The 17,526-nt window shown below is 36.4% G+C and overlaps 1 annotated feature.

Annotated features, from left to right (window-relative positions):
• Positions 15,934 to 17,133: an enhancer, noted in NCBI's record as "P300/CBP strongly-dependent group 1 enhancer chr5:57555313-57556512 (GRCh37/hg19 assembly coordinates)". NCBI's record gives its function as "activates an origin of replication core promoter dependent on BRD2, BRD4, P300/CBP, MED14 and CDK7 cofactors, with strong dependence on P300/CBP, by STARR-seq in HCT116 cells {active_cell/tissue: HCT116}" and the evidence as "EXISTENCE:reporter gene assay evidence [ECO:0000049][PMID:35650434]".

Raw genomic sequence — 17,526 nt, 5'->3', positions numbered from 1 at the left:
TAGAAGCCAATTGGCTCTCTGCCCATTCATTTATCTTGCCTAATAATGTTCTTATTTTTGGAAAAATATTTTGAGTGACTTTAATTTAGATTATTCTTACAATATTACCTATATGCTTCTCCATTCTGTCATTTTTCAGAAGCCTTTGGAAAACACGCTCATTGGGCCATGTGCATAGCTACATAAGTGATTTGCATTTGTTGACAACACCTGTGGTTCTCACAATCTCATAGAATTACTTGAGAAAAAGCCAAACAATATTTGTTCCCTAAAACTTAACCCAGAAGCCATCTAACTTAATAAACATTTTATTCGATATTCTAAAAACTTGAAAGTTTTCCTGCTAAGCTTTTAAAAATTATATTAAACGGCATGGATTGATTTTGAAATTACAGCCACCTTTTCTGAGAGAGTGGTTATAGGTATAATACAGCAAAATATTATAATTCCCCTAATTTTGAACTTTTTATATTTTGCCTAAAAGAATTAGTTAAGTAAAGTAATAATACACATAAGGGTATAATGAGTCATTTTAATTCTCTAAAGAAAATTATGTTTTAAGGTTATTTTGCATATTACTAGCTTGAGGGTGAAATTTTTAATTTTATTTGTATTCAAAATATATTTAAATATTCCAACACAATCACCTTGATGAATTCTGTTATGTATACTTGGGAATAATGACATATCTTTTATTATTTTGTTTTAACACGGGTGACCCTTAGAGTCATACATTATGCAAATACCTGTTGTTAAAAGAAAAACTTGAGTCGAATTAAATTTAAAGAAGTTTAATTGAGCAATGAACAATTCGTGAATTAGGCAGCCCCCAGAATCACAGCAAATTCAGAAAGACTCCAGCACAGCCATGTGGTGGAGGAAAATTTATAGACGAAAAAGGGAAGTGATGTACAGAAACAACTAGATTGGTTACAGGTTGGCATTTGCCTTATTTGAACACAGTTTGAATACTTAGCAGTGTATGAGTGGTTGAAGTATGGCTGCTGAAATTGGCCAAGACTCAGCTACTTTTACAGGCACATACTCCTAAGTTAAGTTTTCAATCTTGTCTGCTTATTAATTTAGGTATGGTTCTTCCATAGGACTCAAATATAGAAGTACAGAGTCCTTTTCAGGCCATATTTAGTTCACTTTAACACTGTAAATAATGAACTCCGAACATTGAATTTTAAAACAAAATTATTCAAATCAAGTTCTGTGTTCTCTTTTATAGTTTTCTCTTTTTGACACTGTTCTTATTATATTTGGAAGAAAGTTTCAATTGGCTACCAAACTGCCTTTAACACATATTTTGAAGTAAGTTTACAGTACCAACTGAAAATAAGAATTGCTCAGACCCACAAATAATATTTATAACTGCTTCTGAAATTCCAGAGATTGGCAGATTTCTTGTTTTCTGTACCTTAGACTTTTTTATTAATGTAGAATTATTGTCTTATGGAAAAGTATCAATTTTGCCAGACTTCTTTCAATAGAATAGAAATAATATTATAATTAGTTTACTGAGGACTTCTAATATTTTTCAGTACTTTTATGAGGCACAGGGTTTTACATGAGCTCAGCGGAGTTTATTTTAAATTGAAACAAAACCTTTATATATAAATATTTATAAACTGATTGCGAAAAATTTTGGAAGAAGCAGGAACGTTTAAAGAATAATATAAAATATTTCAATTTTGCCACTTAAAAATAATCATTGTTTGTGCTTATTTTCCTTCTAATAACATGTTAGACAAAAACATACCCTTTCATACTATTAGGATAATATATCTCTGTGTGTGTACGCATATTTCCTTTTATACTATTAGGATTACATATACATATCTCTGAATCTTTTATCACTCAACATACTTTTTTGGCATTTCTTCATTTCATTATTTTATTAAAACATGACTTTAAAGGTTGCAATCAATTTCAGAGTATGGCTATTTAAAATTTGGTCATTCTCCTATTTCTAGGTAGTGATTCTGAACTAATACTATGATAGATACTTTTGTCTGCCTTTTTAAATGTTTTCTGGACATGAAATCACTGCAGCAAATTAAAAGATTCTTGATATATTGTTAAACTGATTTTCAGAACAGTTTACCTTGTAACATAGCATGTTGTCACTAGGGTAGCTAACATGATATATTGGGGAGTTGAGACACTGAACAAAGGAATCACAAAATGTACCTTCTTACTTTTGATGAATCACTGTTTAGCCTTGATACAACCCATGAATGGGCTGATTCACCCCTAAATGAAGACAATAGCTTTCCTTATATATCTTGCAGAAATAATAAATGCATCCATTTAGGAAAAAAAGGAATTCAATTTCAATAGCAATAAAAACTATACAAATACCTAGTGCTATAGTTTGGGTATTTGTCCCCAAAACTGCAAGTTAAAATTTGATTGCCAGTATTGGAGGTGGGGGCTCAAAGAGGAGTTTTGGTCATTGGGGCAGTTCCCTCATGAATGGCTTGGTGCAGTCTTCATGGTAATGAGTGAGTTCTCACTCTATTAGTTCTGGGCAAAGCTGGTTGTTAAGAAGAGTCTGGCACCTCTCTCCTCTCTCTCTCTTGCTTGCTGTCTTGCCATGTGCTCTCTGCACATACCAGCTCCCTTAGCCTTCGTCCATGACTAGAAACAGCCTGAAACCCTCACCAGAAGCAGATGCTGGTGCTATGCTTCTTGTACAGCCTGTAGAATTGTGAGCCAAATAAACCTTTTCTTTTTATAAATTACCCAGCCTCAGGTATTTATTTATAGCTACACAAACAGACTAGGACATCTGACATCATGAGTGTTCATATTTTTCCTGTTGGTGTTTCTAATGTTTTTTCTTAGCGGAATATGGAGCTCAAAAAACTTTAAGAGCTCTTTTCTCACTTCATTTAGTAGTTGAAATACAGTGACATGTGATGCCAAAGATCAATTACAAAATGTGAAATTGTGTCCAGATTCAAGTTCGGGCTTCTGAAATCTCATTTTTCTAAGCTCATGGGGACAGTTAATTACTGATAGATAACTATGTCGGCCATAACCAAGGATAAACACATGTGACATAGTGACAAAGGGAATAGAGATATTTTGTGTGGGCTGTTTTCAATAGGATCTTATAATCTGGTTCTGTATGTATTTGATAAGTTTTGCTCAAAATGAAAACATGTATTTAGTAGTATTGACATCAGACTTTCAAGCACAGCTGCAGACATAGTATTGTTTATAATTTCAATGAAACCTAAAATATATTTCCTTTCTGCTGAGGAAGATGGTGAGTGACAAGGGTGGATTCAGACTTCACTCTTTAGTTTCTCAGATTTCTCTGTCTTCTCTCAAGATTGCCAGATAAGGTGTGTGTGTGTGTGTGTGTGTGTGTGTGTGTGTGTGTGTGTAAAGGAAACAGGAATTCCTTTTAAAGGGGTGACAATCAATCTTAGTCTAACACTAGCTTAGAGCAGATGTTCTTAGCAGAAATCTGCTGAAGTAGATTATAAATGCTGTCCGGTTGCCAAAAATCAGGCTCATATTTCTTTTTGCCTTAATTTCAAAATGCTGATCTTGTTTAAGAAGAAAGGAACGATACCCAATTTTTCAACCTTCTTAACTCCTCCACCACCATCTTTTTATAAACAGAGAATAACTTTCCTAGTCTTATTATGCCTGAACTTGCTCATTTACGCAAACTGAGTCTCTTTTTTTTTTTTTTTTTTTTTTGAGACGGAGTCTTGCTTTGTCACCCAGGCTGGAGTGCAGTGGCGCGATCTCAGCTCACTGCAAGCTCCTCCTCCTGGGTTCATGCCATTCTCCTGCCTCAGCCTCCCGAGTAGCTGGGACTACAGGCGCGCGCCACCACGCCCGGCTGATTTTTTTTGTATTTTTAGTAGAGATGGGCTTTCACCGTGTTTCACCAGGATGGTCTCTATCTCCTGACCTTGTGATCCACCCGCCTCGGCCTCTCAGAGTGCTGGGATTACAGGCGTGAGCCACCGTGCCTGACCAAGTCTACTAAAAAATTTCTACAACCATGGTAAATCTTGGAAAGCTAATAAAACTATGAAGATGGAGTATATAATGAAATCCTTTTGAAAGATTTATGCAACATGATTATGTATGTCATCCTGAATTAATAGGCATGCAAATTTTTCTAAATAAAAGCTCATTAAGGCCAGCTCTTCTTATTATCAATTTTGTTTCTTGTTTTATTTGGGCTTTAAAATGAACAGGAATAGGTTTAAAAACACACTATTGGGTAATATACTTAGTAGATGGGTGATGAAATAACCTGTACACCAAATTCTTGAGTCACAAGTCTACCTATAAAACAAACCTGCACATGTACCCATCAATCTAAAAGTTAAAATATTAGAAATATACATATGTTTGGTAAAGATATTTCTCCTATTATTAACAATTTTATTTTTCTGTCGTCTTTGTTACCAATACAGGACATTTGGGAATGTTGGAATTTGGTTATAAAACACCTTGTTTATGCATATATATTTTGTTACTCAAATTATTTAAAATATTGAGTCTCCCCATGCAGAACAGTGATTCCTGTGCATTTTGGGGGGTTTTATTTTAGGTTCTTCATTTTCTTGCAGCATTTCTTCCATATATGTTTAGTGGTTGATTTGTACAATAACATGCATTTCCTTAAGCTATTTTTTCCTCAAAATTTCAAATATGACTGTCTCTAAAAGAAGAATCTGTAAATTATTGTTTACCTAGTGTTTGTGTATTTTCAAAACTCATGAATATTAATAAATATTCCTTTCATTCTAAAAATATTCCACAATTTTTTAGTGTGGGTACAGATTTAATATTTGATACATTTTCTCTTTGAAAGAAAGATTTTCCTATCACTTCTTTCCCCCAGAATTGAGGTTACTTTGCTATAAGAACATATAGCCTTATGCATAGTACACAGTTTGGCTTTTATGACTTTATGTAAAAGTAATTAAAGTTAATTTTCTAAAGCTTGTATTTTTTATTTTCAGAGGATTTAATCTAAATAGTCACAACTCTAGCAATTATATACCTCCTCTTGTGCACAGGATAGAACCAAGCGTTGTGAAATTATAGTAAATTTTATTATAAACAAATTTGAATTTCATTTTTCTCCTATTGTTGAACTTTTTCTTTGAAAATTTGAACTGCCATTTTTGTCCTTAATATAAAATCTGCAAGAAAATGTTTTGCTTCCCTTTTTAGTCATGAGAAAAATGATACTATTTTCAGTAGAGTACCTAAAAGTAAGGTTTTACAGAATATCTCAAGGCAGAATCCTAATACATCACTAACTTCTTCATAGGTTTTTTTTTTAACTTCTCTCACTAAATTCTGAGCAAATGTTTACCCATATAGGCAAATATGCTTCAGCTCTATTTCTGTCCATCCTAAAGGAGTCAGCTGAGTTTCAGGATTCCTTAACTGAAGAAGGAAAAGTAGCAGTGTTGACTTTAGGATAGTATGTGAAAGGATTATTTACCAAAAATAAGTTCTTGACAGTATTTCAGCCTTTACATTACATATACTTACCTTCTGGTGCACTGGACTTCATCAAAGGTAACCAAATGCTCTTTTCAGATGCTCTAAAGAGAGGCATGGGAGTATATGGATAGTTTCAAAATTGGAAATGGTTTGCCCCTTTCTCAGGTCTTCCATGTGTGCTTTCCCCCATGAGCCTGCGGCAGTGTCTGTTGAGTTTCCATTGGAGGGACATGAGAGGTTCTGCAATACTTGTGCAAGACAGGGGAGTATCTCCTATGACTTATAATCCCTGACTTTACATGCTGCCAAACAAACTTTCTTTTCTGTGCATTTGGATTATTGTGCACCACTGTGAATATGGATAAAATACTTTCCCAACCTCAGCTAAGTGTAACGTCATACTTTCAGCAAGCGGATACTAAATAGTATTATCTTTTCTCTGTCAGTATCCTAGACCTTGACTCTACTGATACAAAAATGTACCTCTCTCTGATTTTCTGAATAGTACGTCAACTGTGCTTTGTAAATGTTAAAAATGTTAAATAAAAATTCCTTTATTATATTCTTATATAAAATATATATCAAAATATCATGTTAGGCTAAACAGTAATAGGAAACTCTCATTCTAGTATCAATATAAAGTGAACCCAAACACATATCCAAAGCCTGGTATGTCTTGCAGAGGTAGAACCTTGATAGACCTTGATCTTTGCATGAATACGAATGAATAAAGGAATCCATCAATTAAATAACCATCAATAAATTATACCATTCACTTCTTTCTTATTTACTTGGGCAGTTAGTTGATTAAAAGCAGAAAATGTGTTTAGGCTATTAGAGTAAGCTGAATAGGAAGTTTGAGGCTAGAAGATGCATAAATATGAATTTAAAGATAATCATTACATATATTCAAAATGCCTTTGTAAATTCCCTTAAATCACTCATAGAAAAGTTTTTGGGTGGAGCACGGTGGCTCTTGCCTGTAATCCCAGCACTTTGGGAAGCCAAGGCAGGTGGATAGCTTGAGCCCAGGAGTTGGAGATGAGCCTGGGCAATATGGCAAAACCCCATCTCTACAAAAAATAGAAAAATTATCTGGGTGCGGTGGCATGTACCTGTAGTCCCAGGAGGCTGAGGCAGGGGGATCATCTGTGTCTGGGAGGTTGACAAGGCTGCAGTAAGCTGAGCTCTTGCCATTGTACTCCAGCCTGTGTGACAGAGTAAGACTGTCTCACACACAAAAAAAGTTTTTGGCATTGAAATTACATTAAAGAAAGAGAGGCTGTCACACCATGAAGCAGGAGGGAATGAGACCCACCACAGGAAGAAATGACTATCCCTCATGTGTTCATTGAATGGAATGGATAACTTAATGTCCCAGGTTATTTAAATTATTTCTCCATTTCAAAAATATTTTTTTCCAAATGTATACAATTGAGTTTGTGTAAGTCCAATGTGTGTATAATGGCAGTCCACTGAATTTCCTTTTTAATTACAAGTATTTATTTCCCATGATATCTTGCATCATTATTTCTCTATTATTCTTCCTGTTGTATTCAGAACTATGCATTTTGAAATGCAGTTTACATATAATTATTTCATGTGGTTAATATTATCTTTTCACATAGATTATAAATTCCTTATGAGAAAAATCTGTCATATGTTTCTGTATTGCCCAATTTTGGGCATGCACTAAGGTAAGTTTTGCCCAATAAATGCTGATATGGTTTGGCTCTGTGTCCCCACCCAAATCTCATCTTGAATTGTAATACCCACATGTTGAGGGAGGGACCTGGTGGGAGGATTTTAAGGGCAGTTCCCCCCATGCTGTTCTTGCGATAATAAGTGAGTTCTCACAAGATCTGATGATTTAAAAGTGTGGCACTTCTTCTTCACTCTCTCTCTCTCACCTGCTGCCATATAAGATGTACCTTGCTTCCCGTTTTCGTTCCACCATGATTGTAAGTTTTCTGAGGTCTCCTCAGTCATATGGAACTGTGAGTCAATTAAACCTCTTTTGTTTGTAAATTATCCAGTCTCACATAGGATCTTTATAGCAGTGTGAGAATGGACTAATACAAATGCTTTTATACAGGCAGATTAATCCTCAAATCTTTGGGGGCCTTCACAGGAAAAGATCTACTATGAAAAAAATAAAGTATATTTTATTTACTTATTAAATATTTCTTGCTATTTTTGGTAATCCAGTATTCTATTATTCCCTTTTCTCTGTCTCTCCTATTACTCCATACCTTTCAAACCCCATAGCTTCAGTTTTAGAGATTCATTAATTCAAGAGATTTTTATTAAATGATTTCTAACTGTCAGCAATTGTGCAAAGAACTAGATCGAGGGACATGGTTGTTTTGTATTGTTTCCAATGCATGCAATTGTTAAACAATGGTCAGAAAAGTATTCTTTTATTTCTCATTTTAGACCTCCAGTATTTATGGCAAACTAATTACGATCTATGCCAGATTCAATCTAGGTGCACCTAAGTCCCTATGGGAAAATCAGAGGTCATCTTTGCACCTTTGCTCACTGTGAGTGGGTGGGGAGGAGAGGGGTGGAAGTTGTTGTGAGACATCCACATCCACATGGATGGAGAGTTGCCAAGTGCTTAACTGGGTTCCCGCAGAGGCCAAGGTGAGCAGGAAACAGGCTGCAGTAGTGACGCAGGGGAAGCCTGGTGGAGCTGAGAAACTCCCTCACTTGACACAGAGCTGCAGAATTAATGGCCAATACCATCAAGAAAGAGTTTAAGACCTTGACTGGCCCTTACGAAGTCTAAGTGATCTACTTTCCAGATCAAAACTGCCTTTAATTAATAGAATTATCACCTGCCCTCATAGCCTAAGGGTAGTAGAGTATTGGCCCAGGAGAAATTGAAGGTGTTGTGGGCAAATCAGTTCAAAAAAACTTTTTATTTTTTTCTAGTGACCAGCATAGTTTGCTTCTATGAAGTATTATTTCAAATATGCAAAGAAGGCCCACATATACCCCCAACAGATTGCAAATGAGGTAATTCTACCATTAGGCTACCCTCTAAACCTCTATTTTCCTAATCCATTCCTTATAATTCTAACTTGAAATGCAAATATTTAGATGTGTGTGAATATTTAGTTCATTTGGACATGACATCTACATCTTCCATCTTCCAGTCCCACACACATCTTTGGGACTGGAAGAAACTAGGAAGGAGAGAAAATAATGAGCAAGAATGGGGAAAAGGAAGGAGAGAGATGTGAATCAAGAGTGGATGGGAAACAGAGCTGGAGAAAGAAAAATAAACATAAATGCTGGTTGTATAAGCTTATGAAGACAATCGTGTCAAGATCAACTGAATTAGAAACTATCAGAGAGGGAAGTGGCGTCTTAACATCCTTGGCTGTCTATAAAATGTGAAATAGGTATACAGCTTTATGATGGAGAACACCATGATTCTAAGATTCCTTCAAAGTTTAAAACCTTGAAAAAGTTGTAAAAGTTCTTTGCTTTAATTTTTGCACTAAAAATTTGTTATACAAATTTGACATTGATGTTTATTTTACTTGAGAATCTCAAACCATGGTATGTCCTGTACTTACTGTTATTATTTTACTTTGGTAGCTTCAATAAGTAAGATGAAAAATAATAGAAGTGAAGTGATTGCCAAGATTACATTTACCTTCATTCATTCATGCAACCCTTCCTTCCTTCATTTATTCACTCGGTCATCAAGTATCTATTGAGCTTAGTTCACTATTTGAGGTGAGGTGGTGAGAATGATAGGAAAATCTAGGCAGTGTTCCTTATAAAGCTTTCAGTTTGCCATTAATCACATAATTGTGAAAATAAATAATTACCAGCTTGAGAAGCATCTACAAGGGAATCTTGACATTCTTTGAGGGATCAGGTTGATTTTTATATTTTCGTGTCAGCACTGTGTCAGAAGATGAGAAGTTTTGTTTAGGAACCACCATCAACTTTTATTTTACTTTTTAGGAAAGTACTTATATCTAAATAGGCAAATAAGCCTTTGTTGATATTTAAAGTAGTTTTATTTATTTATATATTTTAAATAAAAACCAGTAACTCACCTATATTAATATCTCTGATACAATGAGATAATTTGAATAAAACCAAGAAAATCAGTTCATTTGACATTTTTTCCTTTGGGCAGTCTAAGCTAACGTTTCTGTGAATATGTTAGAATGTTCTGTATGTCCTAATTAGTACATAGCCACTAATAAATTAATTTATAACATACAATAATGCTACTTACTTTCATTTTTAAAATCTTGTTATCCTTATAAAGATTTGCCAGACCCAACTAGAAACATCTCCTATTTAAGGAGGTGGACTAAAGCAGAGAGGTCTTGATGTTGGAGACTGTGTCCCTTCAAAATAAAATCTGTGATCACTTTTACCTTTCTGTGACATTTTTATGCCATTTATTCTTCCATTTCCTTTTGTTCTTTCTCAGTGCTGTGTGTGACTAATGCAATTCAGCTAGACCTGTAGTCATGGAAACTATAAGAAGGCACAAATATGAGTATATTCACTTGTGGGCATCTATCCCATCACCCATACCTGTCAGTTTCTTGGCCAGTAAAATATACTTTATTAGGAATATGAGATGGAAATGCATGTGATTGTCTTTTATCTTTGTAAACTCCCTGATTCTTTTTAAAATGAAATAGTGGTGTTTTATGAATTATTAATATCCCTGTGCTGCCTTGGGGCTCCCAAGGAGAAGGTGTCATATTCAGAGATAAAGTCAGATTTGCCGTTTCAGTGAAAATGTTGAAGAACTGCACAAGACATATGTAATAGGTATGTATTTATTGAACTCATTCCTGGGACACAGACTGTTATGGAACTATTTCATTCAATCAACACTTTATATAATTAAAGCAGTTTGAAAAACCATTCACTCGTGTATAAGAGATTATATGATAATGTCATTTGATAACAAGAAATTTGCTACCAATCAGTGACTTTGAGAAATTTTGTTTTATCTTATATGAAAACAAAAGATATACCTATCAGAACAATTTTGTTCTTATTCCACTTTAACCAGTTTCTCCTTCCATGCTGGCCAATTACCTTTGCCCTCATTCTAAATGAGTGGTTTCTTTCCTCTCCATTGATAATTTATTTGATTTGCTTTCCTATTCTTTATTTCTTAAGTCTACAATTCCTTTCATTCGCTTTGATTTCTGGTTCATAGAATCATGGAGTATTAGAATTGGAAGGGTCTCATGGATGATTCAATTCAACACATAAATTTTACAACTCAGACAAACAACCCAGCCTCTTGTGGAACAGCTTTCTTACCATCTCCCTTTTGATCATAGGCAATTCAAACATAGTATGTCCCAGAATGAACTCTTACATTTCCCCAAACCTGCTCCTCCCACAGTGTTTCCAATAAAACAAATGTTACAGCATTGCCCAGGCCAAAACTCCTGAGGCCACCCATGACTCCTCTTTTTCCCTCTCAGCCTGACATTCAACCCATCAACCAGTCTTAATTCATTTCTCAGCGCAAATATGAATGCCATCTTTAAAAAGATGCCATCGCTGACTCCCAGTCCACATCCCACTCTATCTCCTCACAAGGACTTACTTGTCTTTGTGGAGCTCCTACCCTGTGTATTGGCTGGCTGAATCATTGTCACCATATTATAATGTAAACTCCTTGAGGGCAGGGACTTTGCATACCTTGTTCACCGCTGATTCCCCTGCTGCAGAATAGTGCTGATGCAGAGGATATGCTCAATAAAGTACAACAGAAAAATTGAATAATTCTGCTAGCTGAGGCTCTGAGCAGTTACATTATGTCACTGTTTAGCAGCAAAGCTGGAAAGAGAATCTGAAAATTCTGTCTCCTCTAGTGCTTTCCCCACTGTAAAATACTGCCTCCCAATGTTCTCTTGCTCCTATCCCCTTAATGTTTTGTTCACAGTATAACTTTTTGCTTTCAAATATAAAGAGCAATTACACTTTATATAGTTTTATGATGCTTCACTGGTTGTTTATTCTTCCTGATCATCACCTTATTTTACAAGATCTAGTGAAGCCATGCTTTCCTGTTCATTCCAAGCATAGTTGACATCCCCTAAAAATTCCCTAAAATCTTAGAACCTTTATAGAACAAATGGTTTTTACATTGCAAACCAGTGTCCTACATTCCATATACAGTCCACTGATATATTATTGGATGGAACTGTTAAGATATTACAATCTGAGGCCGAGCACTGTGGCTCATGCCTGTAATCCCAGCACTTTGGGAGGCCAAGGCAGCTGGATCATCTGAGGCCAGGAGTTCAAGACCAGCCTGGCCAACATGGTGAAACCCCTTTTCTACTAAAAATACAAAAATTAGCTGGGCATGGTGGCGGGTGCCTGTAATCACAGCTAGCTGGGAGGCTGAGGCAGGAGAATCACTTGATCCTGGGAGACAGAGGTTACAGTGAACCAAGATCATGCCATTGCACTCCAGCCTGGGTGACAGAGCGAGACTCTGTCTCAAAAAAAGGATATTACAATCTGAGACTCGGAGCACTCTTCCAAGTTCATTCAAGTTGTTGGCAGAATTCAGTTCCTGTGTTTGTACAGCTAGAGGCTACTTCTCCCTATAGGCAGTTCACAGCATAGCTTTTGTGGAATTCCAGGCCAGCAGGAGCACATGTCTTTGATTACGTCCTCTGCAACCAGCAAGAGAAAACTCTTTTAAGACCTTGACTGATTAGGTCAGGCCCATCCTTGCTATTTTCCCTTTTGCTGTATAACTGTCATGAGAGTGATACCTCATTATATTCATAGGTTCTACCCACACTCAAAAGGATTATATGCAGCATGTACACCAGCGGATGGACTCTTGGGGACCACCTTAGAATTCTGCTTAAGACTTTGCAATTTCCAATGAGTCAGAATTACTGAGGGTAGACAGAGAAATAAATAAGCCAAAAGAGAGAATAAAAGTCCAAGTACTAAAAACAGACATATAGATCATTGTAACAGAATAGAGAGCCCAGAAATAAACCTGCACACCTACAACCATCTGTTCTTTGACAAAATCAATAAAAATAAGCAATGGGAAAAGGACTTCCTATTCAATAAATGATGCCGGGATAACTGGCTGGCCATATGCAAAAGAATGATACTGGACCCCTACCTCTCATCATACATGAAAATTAACTCAAGATGGATTAAAGAGTTAAGTGCAAGACCTCAATCTAGAAAAATACTGGAAGAAAACCCAGGAAATACCCTTTTTGACACTAACCTTGGGAAAGAAACTATAGCTAAGTCCCCAAATGCAATTGCAAAAAAATCAAAAATTGACAAGTGGAACCTAATTAAACTAAAGGGCTTCTGCACAGCAAAATAAATTACTAACAGAATAAATAGACTAAAGAATGGGAGAAAATATTCACAACCTATGCATCTGACAAAGGTCTAATATCCAGAATCTCCAAGTAACTAAAATAAAGCAATGAAAAACATTCAAAAAAAAAAAACAATTAAAACATGGGCAAAGGACATGAACAGATACTTCCCAAAATAAGACATACAAATGGCCAGGAAGCATATAAAAACATATGACTAGTGCTCAACATCATTAGACATCAGAAAAATGCAAATCAAAACCACAGCGAGATACCATGTCACACCAGTCAGAATGGCTATTATTAAAAAGTCAAAAAAAAAAAAACAGCAGATGTTGGTGAGGCTGCAGAGAAAAGAAAATGCTTATACACTGTTGATGGGAACACAAAGTAGTTCAGCCATTGTGGAAAGCAGTTTGGAGATTTGTCAAAGAACTTAAAATATAACTACCATTCAACCCAGCAATCTCACTACTGGGTATATACTCAAAGGAAAATGATTCATTCTATCAAAAAGACACATTCACCTATATGTTCACTGCAGCATTATTTACAGTAGCAAAGACATGGAATCAACCTAGGTTGTCATCAACAGTGGGTTGGATAAAGCAAATGTAGTACATTTACACCATGGAATACTATGCAGCCATAACAAAACAAAATAATGTCTTTTGCAGCAATATGGATGGAGCTGGAAGCCATCATCCTAAGTGACCTCACAAGAACAGAAAACCAAATATTGCATGTTCTCACTTGTAAGTGGAAGTTAAACATTGAATACACTTTAATGTAAAGATGGGAGCAATAGACACTGGGGACCACTAGACAGGGGAGGGAGGAAGAGAAGCATGAGCTGAAGAACCACCTATTGTGTACTATGCTTGCTGCCTCAGTGATGGGATTGTTGGGACCCCAAGCCTCAGTATCACGCAATTTATTCATGTAACAAATCTGCATATGTACTCTTTAATCTATAATAAAAGTTAAAACATTAAAAAAATCCAGCTACTGATTATATTCAAAATCTTTTCAAACTGGAATGTTTCTCTTTCCCTCAGCATCTTCATTAAGTGTGTAAGTTGAGATGCTACTTGGTGTTAACAAAAATATGTCGTATGCTGATTAGTTTGGAAAATTTGCAAACCGGTGTTTGTTTATTTGTTTTAAATTGCATGACCATTCAGGGTCTTGAATAATCCTGTGGAATCTTTAATAAGAAGCATTTTCCAAATTTATTTGACCAAGGAATTTATTTTCATGCCAGAGTGTAGGCTGACATTTAGTTGGCCTTCACAAAATGGTGATATCATTCCTGCCCCAGAGCTGTAGTTCTTAACTTTGCCTTCATATTAGAATCATCCAGGGAAGCTTTTAGAAATGACTAGTGACTATGTCACTGGGTCCCAACACCAGATGTTAGAAAATAGCTCTATCATATACACACAAACTGAAGCAGAGGCTTCTGGTATTTAATGCTTCAAGTATTTAAGAGTAATAGCCACCCCTACACTTGTGGAGGATATACTATATATTAGGCATTATGCTAAATGACTTGAAGCAATGGCATTTTATTTAATTTCACCATAATTCTATGAGGTCAAGATTATTAGATCTATTTACAAAAGAGGAAATTAGAAATTAAAGGACTTAAGGGACTTGTTCAAGGTCCACAGAGTGGAGACAGTATTTGCAACTAGTTTGGCCTGTCTCCAACACACATGCATTTTTTAATTATTCTGCTACATTGTTTAGTATATTGGACTTTTATCAAAAGAGCAAAATATACAATCTGCCATCATTTTTAAGGAGCTCCTCTATTTCTGTGACTGTGGTAACATGATGACACAGAAATAAAAGCACTTTGCCAGAATTTTGGCATTGTTGCTCATCGAAGCAGGAAATCCCAGTCTTGTTGAGTTGACAGCATGGAGCTATCTCAGGATAGAGAGAATGGACAAAACACAGGCCAAGAACGGAGCTCGCCCAATAGACATTTCCAACTGGTTAAAACATGCTTCCTTTTAACACCATGTTGAGCACGCAGTTGTTTTCCAGGCAAGTTCCATTAGTGCCTTCCAGGGAGAGCAGGCTATTCTATCATCTGTAAAAGGGGAACCTTTTAATTTCTGCCCATTCTGACTGATTTCAACATGGTATATACTGATGGAGATTTGGGGTTTCACTTTTGGACATCAAGATCCAATAAAATAAAAAATATTAATGTTTATTGCAGTTATTTTCATTTGCCTTTTAAGAAACTCAGTGACTGCACATGAACACCAGTTTCAGCTACCCAAAGCTGAGACATTACATTAATATTTACATTTCAAAAGTACCTTTTTTTCAGACATCCTTTAGTGTGTCACACATACCTTCTCTCATTAACACTTATACTATCTCTAGGAGATGAAAAATCTTGGGTCCTCCTGGTAGGCACAAAAATGATAACAAAATCACAAAAAGGCTGAGGAAAAGGAAGCCTGAATTCCATTCTCATTGTTTGCAATAATTCACTGTGTTTCTTTTAGCAAATACATAGAATATAATTACAATTTCCCTCTATCTTGCAGAAATGTAGTGAACAAGATGGATTGAAGGTAATCTTGGTTAACCTGAAAAAAGTAAGTGTTCTTGATTCAGTTTAAATCAGTAGACTTTTATTTATTTTATTTTATTTATTCATTTATTTATTTTTTTGAGACGGAGTCTCACTCTGTCGCCCAGGCTGGAGTGCAGTGGCGCAATCTGGGCTCACTGCAAGCTCTGCCTCCCGGGTTCATGCCATTCTCCTGCCTCAGCCTCCCAAGTAGCTGGGACTACAGGCACCCACCACCACGCCCGGCTAAATTTGTATGTGTGTGTGTGTGTGTGTGTGTGTGTGTGTGTGTGTGTCTTTAGTAGAGACGGGGTTTCACTGTGTTAGGCAAGATGATCTTGATCTCCTGACCTTGTGATATGCCTGCCTTGGCCTCCCAAAGTGCTGGGATTACAGGCGTGAGCCACCGCGCCCGGCCTAAATCAAAAGACATTTTATTGAACATCAGGGCATGGTGAGGTTAGTAAAAATAAACAATAATCAATCTCCATTTTCTGGAAGCCCGAAATTTAGGTGAAAGCAAGGTAGATAAACGAGGTATCTGGGAGAATTTCATAAGCTTTATTTTAAAAATAAAGGCACAAAGTGCTTTTGGGAGGCAGTTAAGTTGATACCAGAGCTTTAAATCTAACTGTAACATTTACTTGAATGAATAAATGCCTTAATTTCAGATGAGCCTCTAGTTTTATCAGTCAATTGCCCATAATAATATCAACCTTCAGGAATGTCGTAAAGACAAACTAAAGAGCTGGCTAATGAATGTGAAAAGTGCTCTTGAAAATGGAAGCTCTTTAATATTGGTTGTTGCTTTTATTATTAATGCTTTTGGTACCTCAAGGATCCAGGGAGGCTTCAGAGAAGAGAGAATATCAGAAAGGTAGATGTCTTAACAGTCCACTGATTATTATCAGTTGTTTACTGAAATTCAAATGTAACTGGGCATTCTGTGTTTTATCTGGCAAACCTACCTTGAACCTACTTGAAATCCAACATTGGGCGAGTCTCCCAGCAAGAGTGTGAGCCAGGCTGGGTGCACTGGGGATTTTCTTGTTGTTCATACCTTCCTACTTCTTCATACTTCATACCGTAGCATCATTAGGTCAGTTTCTTTTTCAATAGAGCATTTTGCTGATTCATGCTCGACTTGTACTTCATTGTGGATCCATAGATCACAGGGCAGATGAGTAGGCAAGAATGCACTTCATCACTCTTGCTCTCAGAGAGAAGGAAAGAGAGCTGGAAATGCCCTTGGAAAGCAGCCTCCACAGCTACCTGGGTCATCTAAATTTGCTACATTCCAAAGGAATGACTGCATCCGAGTGTGATTTTCATCCGCGCTTGGGAAAATCCCCCTGAAGGAACCTGACACTTTTAATCTAAACTCTGGGCAAACTAGCTGCTACTGCATCTGAATGATTTGCAAGCAAATGATCCTACTCTCTGAAGCTTATGATTTCATTTTATTTTATGTTTATTTTCCCTCTCTGAATGAAAAGTACCACATTAGGAAGTCAGTGTTTGTGTGTGTGATTTTTGTTTTACTTGGTTTTGTTTTTATTCTCAAATGAAAGTACCCTGCCAGTAATCACTGGTGTTTTGGGAAGACAACCAGTAGCAGTGCTGGCTCCCTATCTTGGAGTGGATGGGCTTTATGTCCAGGCAGCCATCTGTGGGAGTGGTAGCCTGGAGCCAGGTCTTGGAGCTACCTGTGCATGGTAAGGATATGGTTTTTATTTAGCTTAATTGTTACAGAGCAATAAAAATAACAGTTTCTAAAGATGCTTTCATGAATATTATATATACCTGTGAGAAAATTATAATTGGCTCCATGAAGAAGTTTTTAAAAAATATTGTTAAATTTGTGGCAGCATTGAGTGAGATCTTAGTAGAGCATAATGATGAAAGACCTCTGTACTTCTATGGAGCCAGCCTTTGGTGCCCCCATTGAGGAGAAATGAAATGACTACCATGTGTTCAGCAGCTCTCACTAACAAATGGCATTCCAGATCACCTGACTACTCCCCACAGCACTACCTCTCCAAACATTTGCTGTAA

This window comes from Homo sapiens, chromosome 5 (assembly GCF_000001405.40).
Source record: "Homo sapiens chromosome 5, GRCh38.p14 Primary Assembly".
Taxonomy (NCBI): Eukaryota; Metazoa; Chordata; class Mammalia; order Primates; family Hominidae; genus Homo; species Homo sapiens.
This window is presented reverse-complemented; position numbering and strand designations above follow the sequence as displayed.